Source organism: Homo sapiens, chromosome 20 (assembly GCF_000001405.40).
Source record: "Homo sapiens chromosome 20, GRCh38.p14 Primary Assembly".
NCBI classification, from domain to species: domain Eukaryota; kingdom Metazoa; phylum Chordata; class Mammalia; order Primates; family Hominidae; genus Homo; species Homo sapiens.
In genome coordinates, this window is record NC_000020.11 from 18,089,216 (window position 1) to 18,108,303 (window position 19,088).

At 44.8% G+C, this 19,088-nt stretch overlaps 2 pseudogenes, besides 2 other annotated features; both read right to left on the bottom strand.

The window, feature by feature from the left end:
- RPL15P1 (ribosomal protein L15 pseudogene 1) lies at positions 844–1,536 on the bottom strand (annotated as a pseudogene).
- Positions 1,347–1,847: an enhancer, noted in NCBI's record as "H3K27ac hESC enhancer chr20:18071206-18071706 (GRCh37/hg19 assembly coordinates)". NCBI's record gives its function as "activates a minimal SCP1, AML or CMV promoter by ChIP-STARR-seq in naive H9 embryonic stem cells {active_cell/tissue: H9 hESC(naive)}" and the evidence as "EXISTENCE:reporter gene assay evidence [ECO:0000049][PMID:30033119]".
- Positions 3,954–4,525: an enhancer, noted in NCBI's record as "H3K4me1 hESC enhancer chr20:18073813-18074384 (GRCh37/hg19 assembly coordinates)". NCBI's record gives its function as "activates a minimal SCP1, AML or CMV promoter by ChIP-STARR-seq in primed H9 embryonic stem cells {active_cell/tissue: H9 hESC(primed)}" and the evidence as "EXISTENCE:reporter gene assay evidence [ECO:0000049][PMID:30033119]".
- RNU7-137P (RNA, U7 small nuclear 137 pseudogene) lies at positions 6,356–6,417 on the bottom strand (annotated as a pseudogene).

The window sequence follows — 19,088 nt, forward strand, 5'->3', positions numbered from 1 at the left end:
CTCATGCCTGTAATCCCAACACTTTGGGAAGACTAGACGGGCAGATCACCTGAGGTTGGGAGTTTGAGACTAGCCTGGCCAACATGGAAAAACCCCATTTCTACTAAAAATACAAAAATTGGCCAGGCATAGTGGCTCACACCTGTAGTCCTAGCTACTCTGGAGGCGGAGGCCCGAGAATTGCTTGAACCTGGGAGGTGGAGGTTGCAGTCAGCTGAGATCACACCACTGCATTCCAGCCCAGGCAAGAGAGTGAGACTCGGTCTCAAACAAGCAAACAAACAAAAAACTCGATAAACTCCTTACACAAAGACACATCTAAAATAAAGTGAAAACAAAGTTTGAAAAATTACCTTTTTAGAATGACTTAGGAGGGGGAAGTAGGGGTGAAGAGAAGTTGGATATACGCACAAAAATATAATTTGATAGAAGGAATGAGTTCTAGTCCAATAGTACAGTAGGGAAATCGTAGTTAATAATTAGTGTATATCTCAAAATAGCTAGAAGATAATTGTAACATTCCCAACACAAAGAAAAGATCAACGTTTCAGGTAATGGATATCCTCGTTACCCTAACTTAATCATTACACATTGTATGCATGTATCAAAATATCACATGTACTCTCAAAATATGTGTAACTATGATATATCAATTTTAAAAAGACAGAAAAAAAGGATTTAGGTCCAGTTTACCAGTGAAATCCTTCAAGTGTCCAAGTTATTAAGGATCAGCTAATTATTATGTAGTGTATGTCTCTACTGTATAAAATAACAATAAAAAACTTTTCAAAGCATTTTTGTTTTGTGTGAGACAGGGTCTCATTATTTTTTATTTTTATTTTTTGACTGTCCTAAATTGTTTATTAGGTATGAATTTTACAAACTTAAACTTTACTTATGTCAGTGGCAACAGTGGAGCTGGAGATTATCACATTTTCTCCAAGCTGCATGACGAGACCCACCAATAGTGTGGTGGAACTTAAGGCCCTTTCCAAGGCCATGGCTCTTTCGGCCTGCAGATGTCAGCCCACGTGTCTCCCTGGGCTTGTAGACTGATTGGTGATCCACTGGGTGTCAGGATTTCTTCTGACAGCTTAATGGAATGCATCAATGAGGATAACCTCAAAAAATTTGTATGTGAAATCTTCAACTCAGTAAGAATTCAGGACTCTTAGAGCCCCACAGTGGTGTCCAGCTTGCTCCTCTGCAATGGACTGAGGGTTCAAGCAAAGTTTAGCTGGTTAACACCATGATGTTCAGGCTTGCCGTAAGTTGCACCCTTAGGAACTGGGTGTTTTTGGCCATCACCGCACACATGAATCCTATATATAATGTAGCCTTGTAGTTCAGTCGGCGCACTTTATGGGGCCAAGTGGATTGGGGAGCCCTGTGGAGAGCAGAGGGCTGGCAGTACTGCCAGCAGCGGACCCTGAGAAGAAAGCGCATGAGATCAGACTGCTTCTCCCTCCATAGCTCCTGGATGTACTTGTATGCACCCACCGTGGCTTACCTGATGGCTACTGCCAGACAGAAAGGCGGGGTCTCACTCTTTTGCCCAAGCTGGAGTGCAGAGGCGTGATCATGGCTCACTGCAGCCTTGACCTCCTGGGCTCAAGCCTAAGTCTCCCGAGTAGCTGGGACTACAGGTGAGCACCACCATGCCTGGCTAATTTTTGTATTTTTTGTAGAGACAGGGTCTCACTATGTTGTACAGGCTGGTCTCAAACTCCTGGGCTCAAGCAATCTATTCACCTTAGCCTCCCCAAAGTGCTGGTATTATAGGCGTGAGCCACCACACCCAGCCAAAATATTTTCTGAAAGAAAACAAAATCAGAGGCCAGGCACGGTGGCTCATGCCTGTAATCCCAGCACTTTGGGAGGCCGAGGCGGGTGGATCACTTGAGGTCAGGAGTTCCAGACCAGTCTGGCCAACATGGCAAAACCCTGTCTCTACTAAAAATATAAAAATTAGCTGGGTGTGGTGGCATGCACCTGTAGTTGCAGCTACTCAGGAGGCTGAGGCAAGAGAATCGCTTGAACCCGGGAGGCGGAGGTTGCAGTGAGCCAAAATTGCACTACTGCACTCCAGCCCAGGTAACAGAGTACGATTCTGTCTGAAAGAAAGAAAGCAAGAAGGAAGGAAGGAAAGAAAGGAAGGAAGAAGAGAAGGAAAGAAAGAGAAAAAGAAAACAAAATCAGAAGAGCCAGACATCAAGAGCCAAGCAAATAGACCATAAAATACTTTTTAAAGTAAAATATATTTTTAAAAATATGGTTAATGCATCAAGAAAAAGAAATAAAGGTCTTCTTTTTAAAGTTACAAAGGTAACTAATAGAATTTAAGAATAAAATAATGGGAGAAATAGAGTAGATAAGTAGGGCATGTAAAGAGGTTAAATTGTCATACTCGTGTTGGGGAACTCATGGATGTTGTATATTTGTACATCAACAAATAAAAGAGTTGCCATTGCAGCCAAAATCTGTGGGGAATTTTGGTGCAGCGTCCAGCCACTCCACTCCCAGTGACAGCTCGGAGTTCTGTCTGGATATCTACCCTTTCCCAACCCTGTTCCACATGGTCTGGGTGGAGTTGTCTCAAATTCAGCTTATCTGTTCCTGCCCAATGAGTCAACCACGCCGTTTAAGAGCTTTAGCCTCTGGCCCAGGACTCTGTACCTGCAAAACCTTTCTTACTTTTGCAGGAGCCGTCCCTGTGAAATTGGGTATGTTTAATGTTAAGGGGAGCTCTGGGTACTGTTTTATTTCTGTGTTTATGGGCTTGATATTCTCCTTCATTTATCGGAAGAAGGAATGGCGTCTTTCCTAGATGGGCCAGAGAAGGCCCTAGTCCTTGCTATGGGAAAAGACTCCTGGTGGATGGGATGCGGGAAAGGAACAGGACATTTGTTGTCAGCACCCTGTGGCAGACACTGTCCATATGCCATGCACAACCCCGTGGCATGCACCCCTACACAATGACGGCTGCCTACTGCAAACACCTCCAAGTCCTCCTCTGCCGGAAGGTTCTCTCTCTCCCTCTCTCTACCCCTTCCTCCTCCCTGTCCCCACCCCCTTCCTTAAGAGCAAGCTAGGCTGGCAAATAGGGCAAGCTGAAAGTTCTGTATCAATGACAGATAAGGAGCTGTCGGGTTCGCACTGCAGCTTTCTCGCCCCTCTGTTGGGAGAACTCTGAAGCATCTTCTACACCGTCTCCCAAGCTCTCCAGGGGGAGTGGGCTCCGGGTGCCCGCAGAGATAACTTGCTTGATAACGCAGCTTTCTTTTTTCTTTTTTTTTTGAGACAGAGTCTCGCTCTGTCGCCCAGGCTGGAGGGCAGTGGCGCGATCTCGGCTCACTGCAAGCTCTGCCTCCGGGGCTCCCGCCATTCTCCTGCCTCAGCCTCCGGAGTAGCTGGGACTACAGGCGCCCGCCACCACGCCCAGCTAATATTTTGTATGTTTAGTAGAGACGGGGGTTTCATCCGTGGTAGCCAGGATGGTCTCGATCTCCTGACCTCGTGATCCTCCCGCCACAGCCTCCCAAAGTGCTGGGATTACAGGCGTGAGCCACAGCGCCCGGGGGATAACGCGGCTTTCTTTACTGGCTCTCTTCCTTTTCTTATCTTGCTTCCCTACTCCCTGAAATCATCTCTCAAACTACTTGCAATTAAATACTACAGAGTCTGGGAGACCTCTCATTAAGATTCATCCAGTCCCACTCTCTCAGTAAGGGCCGCTGGGTTCTGCTTTCCTTGACACACCCCTCGTTCACTTTCCCTCTGTGTGCTTCCAGTGGCTCCATCCCAACCCCAGGACAGGGCACATGGATCACACCTAGCCAATCAGCATTGATCTTTTACCAGCCACAGGGAATGGCTTAGGGGCAGCTTGTGACCGGTTCGAAGCCAATGAGGTGTGAGGAGTCTTTAGCGGGTAGAGAGGCCCGCCCTGCTCCCTGTGCACCTGGAAGAATGAAGCCTGGATCCGCCGCCATCACCTGCCAGCCTGTCTGAAAATGGAGCCAACAAGGAGGGCTGCTGGATGGAGTGAGAAACCAGGCCCTGTGGTAGTGTTTGAGCCCCTGAATCAAGCTGTGCTTCAAGCTAGAATTATCCCGAGAGTTTTCAGTGAAACGAGTCAGGAACTTCTCTATTAAACCCATTTTGAGTTGTGACTAAGATGCCTAATGGATACAAGACAGAGAAAGGGCCTTCTCCTGGGTCTCCCTTATGAGAAACAGAGAGAGAGGTGGTTGCTGCCTTGGCTCTGTGGCCGAGCAGGTGCAGTTCAGACAGACGTGGTGGGAAGTGATCTCTGCTTGCATAGGAGGGGAAACCCACCTGGGCTGCTCCCGTCCCTGGGGGGTGCCAGGCACTCCCAGCCCAGGGGATCAGGCCCAGGGGAAGGAGGGACTGGAGGTATGTTCAGCTGGGGCTCCCTGCAGGAACGCTGAAGCCAGAACGGAACAAACTGCGAACAGTGCCATACGAACACTGCACTCACTCTAAACCCAGGTGGGATTAAAAATCGGCAGATCTGGCCGGGCGCAGTGGCTCATGCCTGTAATCCCAGCACTTTGGGAAGCCGAGGCGGGCAGATCACATGAGGTCAGGAGTTTGAGACCAGCCTGGCCAGCATGGTGAAACCCCGTCTCTACTAAAAATACAAACACATGCCTGTAATTCCAGCTACTTGGGAGGGTGAGGTACGAGAATCTCTTGAGCCCTAGAGGCTGAGGTTGTAGTGAGCCGAGATGGCACCACTGCACTCCAGCCTGGGCAATAGAGTGAGACTCAGTGTATAAAAAAAAAATCGGCAAAAATCTGAACTCGAAACAGACAAATCGGGAATTACAGGAAAGCAATCTCTCTCCTGAAAGCGACTTTGGGGAAATTGGAAGCCCTTCCTACTCCACAGATCCACCAGTTGGCCCATGACAGTATTGGGACACAATCCTCTCCCTGCCCAACGAGGATTGCCCCAAATTAAAATGCCAATGCCTCCGCCCAAAGTGGCATTATTGGCTGTTAGTAGACTTTAATACTTACACAAGGGTTATTATAGAATTTCACAGAGCAGATTTTGCAGGGTGCAAGAAGTAAGGAACCCGGAGGGAGGGCTCAGCTACAGAGGATAAAGGATTCAGCACTGGTCACTCCCGTATGCTCAGAGTAGACGTTAAGACTGATAAGAGGCATGAGGGAGACTCAGAGGACATTCTTCTGCTCAAAGATAAGAAAACTGTTTTACCTGGCATTTACTTGTACTCTAAGCATATACCTGATTCTCTGAGTCCCACCTTAGGCCAAATCCGGCTAACCCATTCATTTACAGTTTGTCTTCTGGCTACTTTTGCACTACAATGGCAGAGCTAAGTAGTTGCCTCGGAGACTGTGCGGCCTGCAATCTCTAAAATATTTGCTCTCTGTCCCATTACAGAAAACGTTTGTTGACTCCTCTAAATCAGTGGTCCTCAAACTTGAGTGTGTTAGAATTCCCCCAAGGGTTTGTTTACACGGAAATTGCTGAGCTCCATCGCAGGGTCTCTGATTCATTAGGTCTCAGGTGGGAACTAAGAACAGTTGATCCTTGAACAACACAGGTTTGAACTGTGTGGATCCACATATATATATAGATTTCTTTTGCCTCTATCACCCTTGATACAGCAAGACCAAGCCCTTCTCTTCCTCCTCCTCCTTGGCCTACTCAATGTGAACATGGTGAGGATGAAGACGTTTGTGGTGATCCACTTCCACTTAATGAATAGTAAATGTATTTTCTCTTCCTTATGATTTTCTTAATAACATTTTGTTTTCTCTAGTTAACTTTATTGTAAGAATATAGTAATAATTTATATAACATACAAAATATGTGTTAATCAACTGTGTTATCTGTAAGGCTTCCAGTCAACAGTAGGGTATTAGTAGTTAAGTATTTGGGGAATCAAAAGTTAATGCAGGCCCGGCACGGTGGCCCATGCCTGTAATTTGAGCACTTTGGGAGGCCAAGGCAGGTATATCACTTGAGGTCAGGAGTTTGAGACCAGCCTGGCCAACATGGTGAAACCCTGTCTGTACTAAAAATACAAGGATTAGCCGGGTGTGGTGGTGCATGCTTGTAATCCTAGCTACTTGGGAGGCTGAGATGGGAGGATCGCTTGAACCCAGGAGGTGAAGGTTGCAGTGAGCCGAGATCGCACAACTGCACCCCAGCCTGGGCAACAGAGCGAGTCCCTGTCTCAAAAAAAAAAAAAAAAAAAAGTTAATTCAGATTTTGGACTGTGCAGGTGGTGGCACCCCAGCCCCTCCCTCGTTGTTCAAGAGTCAACTGAATGGCCATTTCTTTTTTGTTGGGAGTTGGGGAGTTCCGGTGAAGACAGGAAAACCTGTTAGACAAATTCTAAAAGAGCTGTAACCTTAATTTCCCTTTCTAACGAGCTCCCAGGTGCTGTTGCTGCTGCTGTCCTTGCCGTCTCCACATTGATGCACCTGAGAAAGGGCAAAAGCAAAATAGCCGGAAGTGGCTCAGGTCATTCACTCCTGCCTACTTCTCATTAGCCCAATATTAGAGGCTGGGAAATATAGCCACTGGTTAGGCAGCCATGTATCCAGGAAGATGGAAAATAGATTTGAGAGGACAACTGGGAGGACTAGAGTGCTGCATTATTTTCTAGGGACTTAAAACACACACACACACACACACACACACACACACACACACACACACACAAAGACTTAGTTCTCTCTCCTACTACATGTTCAGCTTAGGTAAGCTAGAGGCTAGAGGCTTGTTCCAGGTTGCTTTTGTCCTCACTTTACAACCCAGGTTGAAGGAGCAAGTGCTACATTTTTCAAATGTTGCTTTAAAAAATTTTGTATTGGCTGGGCGGGGTGGCTCACACCTGTTATCCCAGCACTTTGGGAGGCCGAGGCAGGCAGATCACATGAGGTCAGGGGTTCGAGACCAGCCTGGCCAACATGATAAAACCCTGTCTCTACTAAAAATACAAAAATTAGCTAGATGTGGTGGTGCACGCCTGTAATCCCAGCTACTTGGGAGGCTGAGGCAGGAGATCACTTGAATCCAGGAGGCAGAAGTTGCAGTGAGCCGAGATCACACCACTGCGCTACATGCCACTGCACTACAGCCTCGGCAACAAAGTGAGAGTCTATCTAAAGGAAAAAACAAAAAACAAAAACAAAAAAAACCTTTGTATTGAAATACAACATGTATACAGAAAAGTGCAGAAATCAAAAGTGTATAGCTCAGTGGCTTTCACAAAGTGAACACACCCATGTAACCAATGCACAGACAAGAAACAGAACATGACCAGTGCGCCAAAAGTCCCCTCACCCCCATCTAGTCACCATCTCACTTTCAAGGGTTGCTACTGTCAGAGGTGTGTAAACCAGAAAACTCCATCTTAAATAGGAGCTGGGTAAAATGAGGCTGAAACCTCCTGGGCTGCATTCCCAGACGGTTAAGGCATCCTAAGTCACAGGATGAGATAGGAGGTCAGCACAAAATACAGGTCATAAAGACCTTGCTGATAAAAAAGATTGCAGTAAAGGAGCCAGCCATAACCCACCAAAACCAAAATGGTGACAAGAGTGACCTCTGGCCATCCTCATTGCTACACTCCCACCAGCACCATGACAGTTTACAAATGCCATGGCAATGTCAGGAAGTTACCCTATATGATCTAAAAAGGGGAGGCATGAATAATCCACCCCTTGTTTACCAGATCATGAAGAACTAACCACAAAAATGGGCAACCAGCAGCCCTCAGGGCTGCCCTGTCTATGGAATAACCATTCTTTTATTCCTTTACTTTCTTAATAAACTTGCTTTCACTTTGCATTGCAGACTCTCCCTGAATTCTTTCTTGCATGAGATCTGAGAATCCTCTCCTGGGTCTGGATCACGACCTCTTTCCTATAGTACTACTGTTGGCCAGGTGCAGTGGCTCACACCTGTAATCTCAGCACTTTGGGAGACCAAGGCTGGAGGATCACTTGAGGCCAGGGGTTTGAGGTTACAGAGCTATGCTCTTGCCACTGCACTCCAGTCTGAGTGACACAGTGAGACCCTGTCTCAAAATATTAAAAAAATAATTTAAAAATTTAAAAAAAGGGTAACCATCATCATGCCACAGATGAGTTTTCCTGTTTTGAACTTTATATACTAAGCGTCGGTATACAAAGATGTGATGCACCCAGAACTTTCACCCACCGTATATTGTGCTGTACGGACTCTCCTGTAACTGATTCTTTCACTCAACAGTTTGTTTGTGAGTTTTATCTGTGTTGTTGCATGCAGCAAACATGCAACAAATTTCTATTGTGGTTTTTTTTTGCATTGCTGTGTAATATTCCATAAATAGATGATTTGTTTATCCACTCTACAGATGATGGACAGTATTTATTTCTAGTATTTGACTAGTACTAATAGTGTTTCTATGAACCTTTTAATAGATGTCTTTTGGTGAACATGTATTTGCATTTCTTTTGCAGATACGTGTTCCCAAGCCTTGTGGTGGCACTACTGGGTCATAGTGCTAGGGGAGGTATATGCTCAGCCTTAGTAGTTATTGCCAAACTGTTCTCTAAAATGTACCAATTCACAGGCTTATTAGCAATGTCTGAGAGTTCCAGTTGCTGCACATCCCTGCCAGCACTTAGAACTTCACGCACCGAATCTGATCCAGCTGGACTTTGCCGGAAAGCACATAGACAACTTTCATTTTGCAAAGCCACAGGCTGCCTGGAGAGACACACATGCAATGTGTGACGAGTACGACACCTCACCCAGTGCTCTGTCATTGGACCAGGGAGCTCAAATGAGCAACCCAACAGTACAGATATAAAATTTGGAGATTTTATATAAAAATCTGGCTATTTTGCTTCTGAAAAAAAAAAATGAAGGATCCAGCAATAGCGGGCCCAAGTTCCCGCATGACCATAAATGGCCAGAGTTGAGTGTTGGTATCTGCCAGTCCATCCACTGTCACCATTTCCCGATCCACTTCACTCATTGACCTTCGCTCCCAGACTGTAGTAGATAATTGAGTTTCCTGCGGTGGACTCCAGCCTTCCTTCAGCCCAGATCAAGACGCCCAACATAACCAAGCAAATATTTCCAATACATTTCTTATATCCTACCAAGGGTTGGTAGTGGAGATATTCTCATATCCAACCCTTGGTAGGATATGAGAAATGTGTTGGAAATATTTTCTCTGCCCCCAAGATATCTCCACTAGTACAACCTTTTCTTTGTATTAAGAATTGCTCTTGGCCGGGTGCAGTGGCTCACGCCTGTAATTCCAGCACTTTGGGAGGCTGAGGCAGTCAGATCACGAGGTCAGGAGATTGAGAACATCCTGACCAACATGGTGAAACCTCATCTCTACTAAAAATACAAAAATTAGCCGGGTGTGGTGGCGCATGCCTGTAGTCCCAGCTACTCTGGAGGCTGAGGCAGGAGAATCGCTTGAACCCAGGAGGGGGAGGTTGCAGTGAGCCGAGCCACGCCACTGCACTCCAGCCTGGGTGACAAGAGTGAAACTTCATCTCAAAAAAAAGAAAGGAAAGGAAAGAAAAGAATTGCTCTCTTCCTGCAGGCATATCTCAAGTAGAATAAAGAGTACTGGAAATGATGAGACAGTACATTGTTCTTTTGATGGTGAATATCTCCAATTTCAGATTTTCTTTTTTCCTGTGGAACACACCATCCCAAAACTCAGTGGCTTAAAACAACATTTTATTGGAACTTGATTTTGTGGGTCAGTAACTAGACCAGAGCACAGTGGGAATAGCTCATCTCTGTTCCATGATGTCTGGGGTCTCAGCTAGAATGGCTCAGATAGCCGAGGTCTGGCTGGAACAATTCAACTAGGGTATGTCTAGGCCTCACCCTTGGTGTTGCCTGGGTTCCTCAGTTCTCTCTACATGGCTTCTCCACGAGGTTATTATCTGGGGCTTCCTCACAGCGTGGTAGTCTCAGGGTAGTTCCCTGAGGCTGCCACACCTTTTTCAGGCATAGATCTGAAGCTGGCACATCATCATGTACACCGTATTTCATTATCAAAGCAAGTCACAACGTAAGCCCAGATTCAAGGTGAGCAAAGATAGCCTCCACTTCTCAGTGGAGAAAACTACAAGGAATTGGTGGCCATCTTTTTTTTTTTTTTTTTTCTTTGAGACGGAGTTTCACTCCTGTTTCCCAGGCTGGAGTGCAATGGCGTGATCTCGGCTCACTGTAACTTCCGCCTCCTGGGTTCAAGCGATTCTCCTGCCTCAGCCTCCCAAGTAGCTGGGATTATAGGTGTGCACCACCACCTGTGGCTAATTTTGTATTTTTTGTAGTGACAGGGTTTCCCCATGTTGGTAAGTCTGGTCTCGAACTCCAGATCTCAGGTGATGTCCCCACCTCAGCCTCCCAAAGTGCTGGGATTACAAGCATGAGCCACCACGCCCAGCCTTGGTGGCCATCTTTAATCTACCGCAGCTTCTCCACTTCCTGCCTCTCTTTCCTTTTATCCTCCCTGCCATGCTAGTTTTTTTGTTTGTTTGAGACGCAGTTTCATTCTTTTTGCCCAGGCTGGAGTACAATGGCCTGATCCCTGCTGATTGCAACCTCCGCCCACTCTGGGATCAAATGATTCTCCTGCCTCAGCCTACCAAGTAGCTGGGATTACAGACATGTGCTACCACGCCCGGCTAATTTTGTATTTTTAGTAGAGATGGGGTTTCACTATGTTGGTCAGGCTGGTCTTGAACTCCTGACCTCAGGTGATCCACTCACCTTGGCCTCCCAAAGTGCTGGAATTACAGGCATGAGCCACCTCACCTGGCTATGCTGTTTTCCAGAAACATGTATGGTATGTTCCAAGTACTATGCTAGTTAGTAGCACAGAGATAAAACATAGTTCTTGACCTCAAGAAGCTTACAATCTACTGGACAAAATAAATTGACAGCTACAATAAAGAGTGGAAAATGCATGTATACATGTGCACACAGGGCCTTTTAAAAGAGGCCAATATATTATCCATATTTGTAAACCCCACAACTGATTCAGATCCTAGGTCATGCCCTCTATAAACACAAATTGAACCAAGAATTAGTAAATGTTATTAATACCTGAGAATGAATGAGTTTATCTGGGCATTTCTTTTCTTTTTCTTTTCTTTTTTTTTTTTTTTTACACGGAGCCTCACTCTGTTGCCCAGGCTGGAGTGCAATGGCTCAATCTTGGCTCACTGCAACCTCTGCCCCCCAGATTCAAGCGATTCTCCTGCCTCAGCCTCCTCAGTAGCTGGGATTACAGGTGTGCACCACCATGCCCAGCTAATTTTTGTATTTTTAGTAGAAACAGAGTTTCACCATGTTGGCTGGGCTGGTCTCAAACTCCCAATCTCAGGTGATCTGCCCACCTCGGCATCCCAAAGTGCTGGGATTACAGGTATGAGCCATTGTGCCGGCCTGAGCATTTCTTATGAGGAGACAAAATTAGAAAGATGTCTTGAAAAATGTAAAGAAAATAGGCCAGGCGCTGTGGCTCACGCCTGTAATCCCAGCACTTTGGAGGCTGAGGCGGGCGATCACCTGAGGTTGGGAGTTTGAGACCAGCCTGACCAACATGGGAAAACCTTGTCTCTACTAAAAATACAAAATTAGCTGGGCGTTGTGGCGCATGCCTGTAATCCCAGCTACTTGGTAGGCTGAGGCAGGAGAATCGCTTGAACCCGGGAGGCGGAGGTTGCAGTGAGCCGAAGCCATGCCATTGCACTCCAGCCTGGGCAACAAGAGTAAAACTCTGTCTCAAAGAAAAAAGAAAGAAAAAGAAAAATTTAATGAAATTAACTGCCCAGTTATTAACTAGACTAGTGATAAAAATTACTAGTCAGGATTTAAAATTTTCTACTATTTGGCATAAAATATTAATTTATGCATGCTGAGTCATTGAAGCACCCCAAGAACCTGAACATTCTTAGGGGACACTCTTTGGAAATGGCTGGCGTGAGCATTTCAGAGGTCACTGGGCCTCAGAGCTGGGGGCCTGGGAAGAGGGAGAAACTAGGAGGGACTTACAGGGGTGGCAGGGGCTGGAAGGGCAAGGGGAGGATCGAGAGTGATTTCATTTATCTCATGCTTCTGCCTGGAAACCTGTAACTGAATTGGCACTTGTCATGGTGAGGCTATAGCTGTTTGCGGGAAAAAAACAAACAGTTGTTTGTTTAAGCTATTGCTTATCAGGTTTTCTGTTAGTTGCAGTCAAATGTTTTTCTAACTAGACAGCCTGTAGGTGGAAAGTGGGGCCTTTGGAGAAGGAGGATGGAGAAATGGATGCCGCAAAAGTGTCCTGGGCCAGGTTCCCTAGCAACAGAGCTGAAAACGGGGATGCTTGTGCAAAGGCTTTACTGGGAGAGTGCTCACAGGGAAGTGTTGTAAGGGAGTGAGGGAAGTAGGCTGGGCCCGGAGGAAAAGCCAGACAGGCATGTGGATTCAGGTGAAGTCCTGTCTCAGCCTCATCCCACAGGAGCTCTGAAGTATAAGTTGCAACATTGTGAACCTGTCTGCCTCGTGTGTGTGTTTGGGAGATGGGGGGTAGGATGAAAATTGTGTGGCAGCCCCAACTGCTGAGCAGCACTGGATAAAGCTGAAGGTGTGAGCCTTAGCAACCGCATCTGCAGCAGCTGGGGGCAGTAAAAGGAATCCCAGGGGTCCACGCAGGCACCAACAGCATCTGCTGCAGAGGATGGCTAATTCTTTGTATGATTTATGGCAAATCTTAAAAGGTAATTTATATGCACACACACAAAAATAGCTAAAATGTTACCTACACACTGACCAGAATACTTCCTAAATGGTGAAGAAGGCAGAGAGCAATCGGAACTCTTTTACGTTGCAGGCTCAACCACTTTGGAAGACGATTTGGCTGTACCTGCTAAAGTGAAACATATGAAGACCCTACGATCAAGCAATTCCACTCCCTTGACTATACCAGTAGAAGTCTGTCCATCAAAGACTTGTAGTAATGTCAGCAATAAAAAGGAATGTACAGACAGGCGCTGTGTAGTGACAGGGATAGGTTCTGATAAATAAGTATTTGTGTATATCTAAACATACCTAAACCAGAAAAGGTACAGGAAAAATAAGGTTTTATAATCTTATGGAACCACCGTCATATATATGATCTGTTGTTGACAGAGACGAACTTATGGTGGTGCATGCCTGTTGTGTTGGTGAATACCACAGGAATTATCTTGGTGAAGGAATCCAGTCTCCAACAGTTACATGCTATATGATTCCATCTATATGGCATTCTCAAGAAGACCAAAGCCATAGTAATGGAAGACAGATCAGTAGCTGTAAGGGACTGGGGAAAGGGGAGGGGATTGTGATTCTAAGGGGACAGTAGGTGAGAGTTTTTGGGGTGATAGAACCAACTATATCTTGATATTGTGGTAGTTACATAGATCTATACACATGTTGAAATCCATAGAATTGCACACCAAAAAGTCAAATGAACAAAAATAATTTAAAAAATATGTATAAGAATGTTCATAGAAGGTGTATTTATAACAGCCTAAACAGGTAGCCTCCCAAAAGTCCATTATGAGCAGAGCAGGCATGCAAATTGTGGTATGTTGGTTCACACTGGGAAACACTACCCAGCACTGGAAAAGAACAAACTACTGGAACATGCAATAGCGCGGATGAGTCTCAGATGTAATATTAAGTGAAAGAGGACAGACACAAAAGAGAGCACACTGTATGATTCCATCTGCATAATGTTCAAAATGGGCCAAATTGAGATGATACAGTCAGGACAGGACTGGAAGGGGACATAAAGGAGTCTTCTGGGGGTGCTAGAAATATATTGTGATCTGGGTGGCAGCTTCATGAAAGTATTCATTTGTTAAACTTCATCATGCTCTACACTTATTTTTTTATTATTATTATTATTAATTATTTGAGACAGAGCCTCGTTCTGTCGCCCAGGCTGGAATGCAGTGGCGAGATCTTGGCTCACTGCAATCTCCACCTCTCAGGCTCAAGCAATTCTCATGCCTCAGCCTCCTGAGTAGCTGGGATTACAGGCGTGCACCATCATGCTCAGCTAATTTTTAAATTTTTAGTAGAGATGGGGTTTTGCCTGTTGGCCAGGCTAATCTCAAACTCCTGGCCTCAAGTGATCCACTCGCCTCGGCCTCCCAAAGTGCTGGGATTACAGGCGTGATCCATTGCACCCAGCCATATACACTTAAGATTTGTACTTAAAAAAAAAAAAAAAAGATTTGTACTTTTGCTTTTAAAAATAGTACCTCAGTGTTTAAAAATGTAAATTATTTTCAACTGATTTATACCTGTCTGGGTGTTATAGGTGTTATGCGAGGGGCTAAAATTTATTGTTGATTGTTAGTTCTTTGACAGCTGACTCCTTATCTCAACTCAGCAAACACAGGGCACTGTGCTGGCTCCAGGGTCACCAGAGAACAAAGAAGCAGTCCCTACCCTTGATAAATATTTGCTTTCAATAACAAAGGGGATGATGATATTTGGAATCCATCAAATTCAGGATTATGTTTACTCCTGCTGGGTGAAAATGAAGCTATATGAGGACAAATAACCATTTTCCTCAAAAGGAGAACACTTTTTAAAAGTGCTTAAACTAGGCTGGGTGCTGTGGCTCATGCCTGTAATCCCAGCACTTTGGGAGGCTGAGGCGGGTGGATCACGTGAGGTCAGGAGTTCAAGACCAGCCTGGCCAATGTGTTATACCCTACCTCTACTAAAGATACAAAAATTAGCCAGGGGTGGTGGTGGGCATCTGTAATCCCAGTTACTTGGGAGGCTGAGGCAGGAGAATCGTTTGAACCTTGGAGGCAGAGGTTGCAGTGAGCCGAGATTGTGCCACTGCACTCCAACCTGGGCAACAGAGAGACTCTGTTTAAAAAAAAAAAAAAGTGCCTAAACTAGGCTGGGTGCAGTGGCTCATGCCTGTAATTCCAGCACTTTGGGAGGCTGAGGCAGGAGGATTGCTTGAGCCTAGGAGTTTGAAACCAGCCTGGGTAACATGGCAAAGCGCTGTCTCTACCAAAAATACGCAAATTAGCCAGGAGTGGTGCTATGCACCTGTGGTCCCAGCTACTCGGGAGGCTGAGGTAGGAGGATAGTTTGAGCCTGGGAGGCAGAGGTTGCAGAGAGCTGAGATGGCACCACTGCACTCCATCTTGGGCAACAGAATCAGACCCTGTCTCAAAAATAATAATAATAATAAGTGCCTAAACTACCACTTTGGGATTGGGAGATAATTTAGATTTTACTACAGGCCCCTTATAAAGGAAATACTTGCTTTTGAACTGTAAGAAAGCATGGATCAGAATCCATACCAGAATGATCCCAGGAGCAGGGATTTTTCTATATGCCATTTAACTTCTAATAGAGCTTTCTGGAAACATAGTGTACTTCTTTTGTCTCCATTTTGTCTGATTTATGCTTCTTTTGTCCTATGCTTAACTCATGACAGAGTTGCCAAATTAAAAACCTAAGTCCATTCCTTGTAAGACAAATACTGAACCTTGACTCATTTATTTGAGGAGGTTATTTACTATTAGGTTTGAATAAAGTTCTGATATGATTTTTACACTTAACCTTTTTCCAAGCTTCCTCGATACTATCTGCTTTTCCTTAAAATGCAAAACGAATTCCAAACATAAACTGAGACAACTATACTTTTTAAAAATATGATTTAAGAAGCACAGTAGTTATAAAATCAATTACTATTGGAAAAGAATGGGTGCTGCATATACTTTCCCAATATTAACTCATTTATTCCACAAAGATCTGCTCACTATCTTTTACAATTTAGCTCACTTTTACTGACAACATGGGAAGCACTGTAATAGATGAAGCTTTGTAAAAGATAAGACACAGCTTTTGTCAAATAACAATACAAGAATATATAAACCACATATGACCATGTAAGAATTTGTAAAAATAGCCAGGCCAGGTGGCTTACGTCTGTAATCCCAGCACTTTGGGAGGCTGAGGCAGGTGGATCACCTGAGGTCAGGAGTTCCAGACCAGACTAGTCAACATGGTGAAACCCCGTGTCTACTGAAAACACAAAAATTAGTTGGGCATAGTGGCGGGCACCTGTAATCCCAGCTACTTGGCAGACTGAGGCAGGAGAATGGCTTGAACCCAGGAGGCGGAGGTTGCAGTAAGCTGAGATGGTGCCATTGCACTCCAGCCTGGGCAACAAGAGCGAGACTCCTTTTCAAAACAAAAACAGAAACAAAACAAAACAAAACAAAAAAGAATTTTTAAAAATTACTACAAGGACACCAAGAATAAGAGAAGTGATACTCGTGGCCATGAGATGATTAAAAGCATTTGCAGTGGGTATATTGTACAGCCTTTTTGGTAAAAAGGTTTGTATTTGCCTAAATACACTTAAAGAAACTCTGGAAAGATCCATGAAAAACCAAGACAGAGGTTATCCATGGGGCATGGGAGAAGAACTGTGCAAAGGGACAGGAGAGTTTTTGCTAAGTTCCATCGTGTCCTTGGAAACCCTGTGAAATGTCTAATATTTGTTTTAAATGGTACCCAGCATTGTTGTATTCAGGTATGGAAAGACCTGCAGACATGGGAATGACTATCATGAAGGAAGAAGTTTGTTATGTTCACAGATACCAGAAACTGGAGGCACAGCGCGCCATGCAGGGCCATGCAGGGCAGCACCAGAGTTGGTCAGGAGGCAGAGGGAGTGAGTGTGGGCAGAAGTCTTTAGTGTGGATTCCATGGGAGGGAATAGGTGAGGCAGGGTAAGCGGGCTTGAGATTGGCTACTTTGAGTAATTTCAGTGGGCTCTAGGCTACAGGAACTGTCCCTGCTTTCCCAGTACCTGGCCTTGGAGTGAATAGGGCAGGGGAATATGAGAGTCTGGGCCAGGTATGAGAGTCTGATAAAGGAGGTGGTTGGGGTATGGGCTTCAGATCGGTTAGTTTGTATTGGAAAGGTGCACTCGCAGACGAGTCCCTTACTACCTTTAGAAATTGGCTAGCCCTAGGAGGGGCAGTACCTCCAAGTGAGCAAGGCCCTCAGGATGTTAAAGTATCAAGAAATACAGAAAATGAAAACCACAATTGATATAATATTGCATGTGAAATGATTAAATATTGACAGGAGCATTTATGTGCTCCTTCGTGGGATGGCTGCCTGATTTACAGCTTCAACTTCTCAGACACCCAAGATGGCTCCCTTCAATATGATATGACGGCCTCTGGCCTTGGTCCAGGACAGGCCCAAGGCAAAACTGGGCCTACCCAATGAGATGCTCCCTCCTGAAAATCTGATACTTGGAACAGAAGAGACACAGGCAAAAAATTTCTGGAGCTTAGTTCCTTCAAGGGCAATAATAATTATTTTCCCTATCTGAATGTCCGATATGGCAGCCATTAACCACATGTGGCTACTGAGCACTTGAACTGTGTGTGGCTAGTCTGAATTGAAATGTACTGTAAGTGTAAATTACACACCAGATTCTAAAGACAGTACAAAAAAGTTGTAAAATATCTCATTAATACATTTTTATATTGATTACATGCTGAAAGGATAATATTTTGGATATATTGGGTCATATAAATATATGGAAATTATCTCGCCTTTTTTTTAAATTAAAAAAATTTTTTTTTTTATTTTGAGATGGAGGCTCCCTCTGTTGTTCAGGCTGGAGTGCAGTGGCGTGATCTCAGCTCACTGCAACCCCCGCCTCCTGGGTTCAAGCAATTCTCCTGCCTCAGCCTCCCGAGTAGCTGGGACTACAGGTGTGTGCCACCACACCCGGTTAATTTCTGTATTTTTAGTAGAGACAGGGTTTCACCATGTTGGTCAGGCTGTTCTCAAACTCCTGACCTCGGCCTCCCAGAGTGCTGGGATTACAGGTGTGAGCTACTACGCCCAGACTGTTTATTTCTTTCTTAATGTGACTTCTAGAAAATGTAAAAAAAGAAAAGAAAAGACTTACGCATATACACATGCAGCGTTCCCCAAAGAAACAGTCAATCCTTGCCCAATCCACTAAAGGGAATCCCACCAGTCAGCCACCATCACACACGAAACAGCACACACACAGCTCCAACACCAGTTTTTGTTTGTTTGTTACTTAAAATAAAAAAGACTGTTTTTCTTTAGAGCAGTGTTAGGTTCACAGCAAAATTTGACAGGAAGATACAGAGTTATCCTATATATCTCCTGTCCATATACACACATAGCCTTCCCATTTATCAACTGCCCCTACCAAAGTGGTACATTTGTTGCAGTTGATGGATCTACACTGACATCTCATCATCACCCAAAGTCCATAGTTTATTCACTCTTTTGTTTTGTTTTGTTTTGTTTTGTTTTGTTTTTGAGACGAAGTCTCACTCTGTTGCCCAGGCTGGAGTACAGTGGTGCGATCTCGGCTCACTGCAACCTTCGCCTCCTGGGTTCAAGCAATTATCCTGCCTTCAGCTTACCGAGTAGCTGGGATTACAGACTCATGCCACCAAGCCCAGCTAATTTTTGTACTTTTAGTAGAGATGGGGTTTCACCATACTGGTCAGGCTGGTGTCAAACTCCTGACCTCAGGTGATCCACCTGCCTTGGCCTCCCAAAGTGCTGGGATTACAGGCGTGAGCCACTGCACCCAGCCTCAATTCACTCTTGGTGTTGAACATTCTGTGGATGTGGACAAATGCACAATGACATATATTCACCACTATAGAATTATGCAGAGTATTTTCACTGCTTCAAAAATCCTCTATGCTCTGCATATGCATACTTCCCTCCCCTTAAGTCCAGGCAACAACTGATCTTTTTACAGTTGCCACAGTTTTGCCATTTCCAGAATGTCATATAGTTGGAATCATACAGTAAGTAGCCTTTTCTGATTGGCTTATTACTTAGCAATATGCATTTATGTTTCCTTCATATCTTTTATGGCTTGATAGCTCATTTCTTTTTAGCTCACAGTTTATTCATCTGTTCACCTGCTGAAGGATATCTTGGTTGCCCCCAAGTTTTGACAATTATGAAT